The sequence below is a fragment of the Homo sapiens genome, chromosome 4 (assembly GCF_000001405.40).
Source record: "Homo sapiens chromosome 4, GRCh38.p14 Primary Assembly".
Classification (NCBI taxonomy): Eukaryota; Metazoa; Chordata; class Mammalia; order Primates; family Hominidae; genus Homo; species Homo sapiens.
Window position 1 is genome coordinate 71,845,062 of NC_000004.12, and position 6,670 is coordinate 71,851,731.

Genomic DNA, 6,670 nt, shown 5'->3' on the forward strand with positions numbered 1-6,670 from the left:
GAATTTTTGCATCTATGTTCATCAAGGGTATTGACCTACTAATTTATTTTCTTGTAATGTCCTTGTCTGGTTTCGATATCAGGGTAATGTTAGCCTCATAAAAAGTTTGGAAATATTTCCTCCTCTGCAATTTTTGGAAAGATCTTGGGAAGGACTGGTATTAATTCTTCTTTAAATGTTTGGTAAGATTCACTTAAGAAGCCTTCAGGTCCTAGGCTTTTCTGTGTTGAGAGACTTTTTATAACTGATTCAATCTCCTTACTCATTATTGTTATGTTCAAATTTTCTATTTCTTAATGATTCATCCTTGGTAGGTTGTATTTGTCTAGGAATTCATTTCTTCTTCGTTATCTAATACATTGGAATATAATTGTTCATAGTAGTTTCTTATGATCCTTTGTATTTCTGAGGTATCAGTTGTAATGACTAACCTTTCATTTCTAATTTTATTTATTTGAGTCTCCTCTCTTCTTCCTTTAGTAGTCTACCTTAAGTATTGTCAATTTTGTTTATCTTTAAAAAAAAAACCTCTTACTTTCATTAATCCTTTGTCCTTTGTTTTTCTAGTCTCATTTATTTATTAATTTATTTATTTATTTATTTTTTGAGATGGAGTCCCATTCTGTCACCTAGGCTGGAGTGCAGTTGTGCCATCTCCACTCACTGCAACTTCCGTCTCTGGGTTCAGGGAATTCTCCTGCCTCAGCCTCCAGAGTAGCTGGATTACAGGTATGTGTTGCTGTGCCTGGCTAATTTTTGTATTTTTAGTAGAGATGGGGTTTCACCATGTTGGCCAAGCTAGTCTCAAACTTCTGACTTCAGGTGATCCATTCACCTTGGCCTCTCAAAGTTCTGTGATTACAGGCATGAGCCACTATGCCCAGCCTCTAGTTTCTATTTCATTTATATATGCTGTAATCATTATTATTTCCTTCCTTTTGCTAACTTTGGACTTAGTTTGTTATTGTTTTTCTAGTTCATTGAGCTGTAACATTGGGCTGTTAATGTGAGATATTTCTTTTTTGTTGTAGAAATTTATTGCTATAAATGTTCCTCTTATAACTGCATTTGCTGTATCCCATATATTTTGGTATTTTTTTTCATTCTTGTTTGTCTCAAGGTATTTTTAAATTTCCGTTTAAATTTCTTCATTTACCCGTTGAATGTTCAAGAGTATGTTGTTTAATGTACATGTATTTGTGAATTTCTGAAGGCCCTCCTGTTGTTCTACTATTGTGGTCAGTAAGGATGCTTGATGCAATTTCTTCTTTAATTTTTTGAGGCTTGTTTTGTGCCCTAATATGTGATCTATCATGGACTATGTTCCATGTACAAGTGAGAAGAATATTTATTCTGTTGTTGGATGAATGTTTTCTTTCTTTTTTTTTTTTATTATACTTTAAGTTTTAGGGTACACGTGCACAACGTGGGGGGAGGGGGGAGGGATAGCATTAGGAGATATACCTAATATAAATCACAAGTTAATGGGTGCAGCACACCAACATGGCACATGGATGAATGTTTTCTAAATTTTTCTTTCTTTTTTTGAGACGGGATCTCATGCTGTCTCCCAGGCTGAAATGCAGTCATGCGATCTTGGCTCACTGAAACCTCTGCCTCCCAGGCGCAAGCCGTCCTTTCACCTCAGACTCCTGAGTAGCTGACACTACAGGCATGCACCACCACACCTGGCTAATTTTTGTATTTTTTTAGAGACAGGGTTTTGTCATGTTGCCCAGGCTGGTCTCAAACTCATGAGCCTCAACGATCTGCCTGCCTTGGCCTCCCAAAGTGCTGGTATTACAGATGTGAGCACTACACCAGGCCCTCTAAATGTTTGTTAGGTCCGTTTGTTCTAAAGTGTTGTTCAAGTTCTATGTTCCCTTATTAATTTTCTCTCTGGATGATCTGACAATTGTTGAAAATGGGTGTTGATGCCCTCTACTATTATTGTATGCAGTCCATCTCTCCCTTCACATGATTTAATATTTGTTTTATGTACATAGATGCTCTGATGTTGGGATATAATAATGTCATATTTCCTTTTATCTACCCATTGAATATTCAATGGGTCTATAAAGATGCTAAAATCACAATACAAGTGCTCACCAAGACACTCCTTAAGAGTTTTAGACATTATTGATAGTGATGAAGGCATTCATTTTGCTTCTCCAAATATATAACGCTGGATTCTTTAATCAGTCATTCAACAAAACTTTCACCACTCTTACTGGCCTCACACTATAGGTATTATAGAGTGTCACAATGGTTTACTTAAATAAGTTGAATTGATTTAAATCAAACGACACATTTTAGTAATCAGTTAGACATCAAGGGTGAATTGTAATAAACAGTCAAACTTCACTTTTGATGTTTGTCTGCTAACAGTTTTCAAGCCTCACCATTCTCTCTTCTCCTTTTGTTCCACATTTGAACAATCTGATAAGAAAGCCCAGGTGCTCCTTCCTTTTATGTTGGCAGGAAGTTCAAATCCAGCAAATCACATTTGCAATAACCCATACCCCATCCCCATCTTTTAACCATAACACTTCAAATTAGTCTTCTCTCCCTGACCTCTAATGTCATTTTTGGGCAGGCTTGGGAACCTGTCTCATCCTCCCCAGAAAGTCTCATTATGTGAGTAATAAAATGTTCATACCCTTTTGGGGTATGTGTGATGTATGTGAGTGTGGATCCATTCATCCTCTTCTCAGTGAGAACAATATATACATATTTAAGTAATCAAATATATTTTTGCCTAGGGTATAAGACCATTTCTGAGTTTTCTTGGTTAATTTTAAAAGAAATTAGATATGTTGTCAGAAAGTGCATAATAAAAGCATATTTTTGTTTATACAGGGGTATTCTGGCTGATTCTTGAATATATCTTTCTTAAAAATGTCAGATTTTGGTTCAAAATATATCATTTATTTGCTTCATCTTTATATGGATACAGCGTGTTCTCACTCAAATAAGCCAATCACAGGCATTATTGAAAATGCTGAAATCATCCATAGCCAATGAGATATAATGGGCTAAGTTAAACTTAACATGAAGAAAGTTTTCTTTCCAAATTAGTATATTTAAAATCAATCATATCCTTGTAAATATGATGTGGAAAGGTTTTTTTATATAATGAAAATTATAAAGTGATTAAGACTAAATATGATGTTTGTTTAGGTGATTTCCCCTGAATATATTCTTAATGAAAAATCATTAAGTTCTAAATTTCAAGTATCCAACAGTTTCTGAAGACCAGTGAAAATGAAAGATGTAGAGAATGAACTTCCTGGCTGTTATTAAAATGTAGAATTTGTCTTTTGCCAAATCAAAATAAATACAAAGTGAAAACGACTGCTTTATTTCTGGGTTTGCTTAAAAATTATTGCATACTGTGGGAAGGCATCATTTAGCCTTCATTTTTAGGTCCTAGCAGAAACCAAATTAACATTGTCATGAGAGAAAATCTAAAAGAATATTCTGAACCATTTCTGGTTAGGGGTGCTTTGCTTACTTGCTTCAGTGTAAGATTTCAGCAAAGTTATTCATAGGCTATGTAAGCCATGGACACACACAAAAATGTATCCATGTTTCAAAATAGCAAAACCTGTCCTTTTCTTTCATACATAAGCTATTGGAAAAAATGGAATTTATTGCTTTATGCGCTTTTAAAGAATAAAAACCGAAAAACAACAGAAATCTTTTCTCCTATCCATAAAATAATTTTTTTATATTTAAATGAGGTTTTCCTATAGTTTTTAAAAGTCTTCATCTTGATTTTTCTGGTTGTTCAGTGAGACTTATCTGTTGAACTTCAGATTATTTCTCTGAGCTGCTCCATCTCCCATTTTTGTGGCTCTACTCCTTTAAAATCTACAACTGACCCTTGAATAATATGGGTGTGAACTGTGCAGGTCTACTTCTAAGCAGACATTTTCCAATAAATACAATTGGCCCTCAGTGTCCACACTGACCACCCCACCCCCACTCCCTTCTGTCTCTTCAGTCAAAGATGGATAGAAAATACAGTATTCTTGGGATGAGAAGCCTGTGTATATGAATGGCCAACTTTTGCATATTCACAGGCTCTGCAGGGCCTACTGCAGGACTTGAGTATGTGCAGATTTTGGTATATGTGGGGTATCCCGGAACCAATCCCCATGGCTACCACGGGACAACTGTAACTGTAGCAATTTACATGAATCATCTTTCTTAGATATACGTACTTGTATGTTTTCTAAAGAGTTCTAGGAGCTTCCATATGCTATTGATTAGCTCATGGCTGATAAATTATATTAAATCCCTAGAATAGGTGGACAAGTCATTTTCTATTCAGCATTTACTATAAATATAATGGAATAATTTTTTTCTCCAAAACACTCTCCTTCTAGCTTGAGGCTTGTACAACTTTTGGTAGAATATTTTCATATCTCTTTTTTTGAACTAAATTGAATTCCTCTGATGATCTCATTATAAGATGCTAATATTTTGCAAACTTGAAGCAAGATTAAATGAAAAAGAATGTCATAGTATTCTAGGTATTATTGACTTGTATTCTCCTGAACAATGATAACTACCACAGAAGCTTCCATTAACTAATGACAATTATTTTTTACTTCAAATCAGGTTATTTCGAGATATGAATTTTTGAGTTTTTAGAAAACATTTAAATTCAAATAATGTGGCATAGATACTTGGAATAACCAAAAACATAAATGTGAAATGAAAATGATTTGCTTAATCTTTTGGTGTTTATTTTTTGCAGTGAGAACACTTACGATTGACTTGCTTAGCAATTTTCAAGTATATAATGCAGTATTATTAATTATAGTTTCCATGCTATACATTAGATCTCCAGAACTTATTCATTCCACATAACTGAAATTGTACCCTTGGATCAACATCTTCCCATTTTCTCCACACCCCATCCCAACCCCTGGCAACTGCTATTCTACTCTGCTTCTATAAGTTTGTTTTTTTAAGACTCCATATATAAGTGAGAGCATGCAGTATTTGTCTTTCTGTCCCTGGCTTATTTTACTTGGCATAATTTCCTCTAGATTTATCCATGTTGTCACAAATGGCAGGAATCCTTTTCTCTTTTTTGAAGCTGAACAATGGTACAGTATGCATGTGTGTATGTGTGTGTGTGTGTGTGTGTGTGTGTATTTCACATTTTAGTTATCCATTCACTTGTTGATTATTCGTTCTCTTTGCTATTGAGTTGTTTGAGTTTCTTATATATTTGGTAAATTAATATCAGATGTATAGTTTGCAAATATATTCTACCATTTTGTAAGTTTTCTCTTCACTCTATTAGTTGATTCTTTTGGTGTAGACGTTTTTTAATTTGATGCGATCCGCTTGTCTATTTGCCTTTGTTGTCTGTGCTTTTGGGATCACATCCAAAAAAATCATTGCTCATGCCAGTGTCACAAAGCTTTTCCACAATTATTTATTCTAGTATTTTACGTTTTCAGGTCTTACCTTCAAGTCTTTAATCCATTTTGAGTTGACTATTATATATGGTATGAGATAAGGGTCTAATTTCATTTTTCTCCATGTGTATATTCAGTTATCCAAACAACATTTGTTAAAAAGACTATTCTTTATTATGTGTTTCTTACCACCCCATAGGCTACACCGTGACCTTAGCAACCTTACGTGTTCTTAGCAACTTGTTGAGGATCAATTGACCATAAACATGTGTATTTATTTCTGAGATCAATCTTTTCCACTGATTTATGTATCTGTTTTTATGCCATTACTGTACTCTTTTGACAGCTATAACTTTGAAATATATTTTGAAATCAGGAAGCATGATACCTCCAGAATTATTACTGCTTAAGATAAGTTTGGCTATTTGGGGTCTTTTGTGGTTCCATGTGAATTTTATGATTATTTTTCTATTTATCTGAAAAGTGACGCTGGAATTTTAATAGAGATTGCATTGAATCTGTATGTAGATCACTCTGAGTGTATGAACATTTTAACAATATTAATTCTTCCAAATCATTAGCATGAAATATCTTTCCATTTATTTGTATCTTCTTCAATTTCTTTCATCAATGCTTTATAGTTTTCAGTGTAGAGATTTTTCACCTCCTTGGTTAAACTTACTTCTATGTATTTATTATTTTTTGATGCTATTGTAAATGGCATTGTTGAGTTCCTTTTTGGATAGTTTGTTGTTGTCTAGAAATACTACTTATTTTCGTATGTTGATATTATATTCTTCAACTTTACTGAATTCATTTATTAATTCTAACTGTTTTTTGGTGGTGCTCTTAGGTTTTTCTATAAATAAGGCCATTTCATTTGCCAACAGAAAAAACTTTACAACTTTCTCTCTGATTTGGATGGCTTTTATTTCTTTTTCTTGCCAAATTTCTCTGACAAGGACTTCCAGTATTATGTTGAATAGAAGTGGCAAGGGTTTGTATCTGTCTTAGTCTGTTTGTGCTGCTCTAACAAAGTACCTGAGTGAAACTAGGCAGTTATAAATAATATGAATTTATTTCTGACTCTTCTGGAGGATGGGAAGTCCAAAATCAAAGCACTGGTAGTTTTGGTATCTGGTGAAGACCCAGTCTCCTTTCAAGGTGGTGCCTTTTTGCTAAGTCCCCCAGAGATGATAAATGCTGTGTCTTCACATAGACGAAGGGATGGA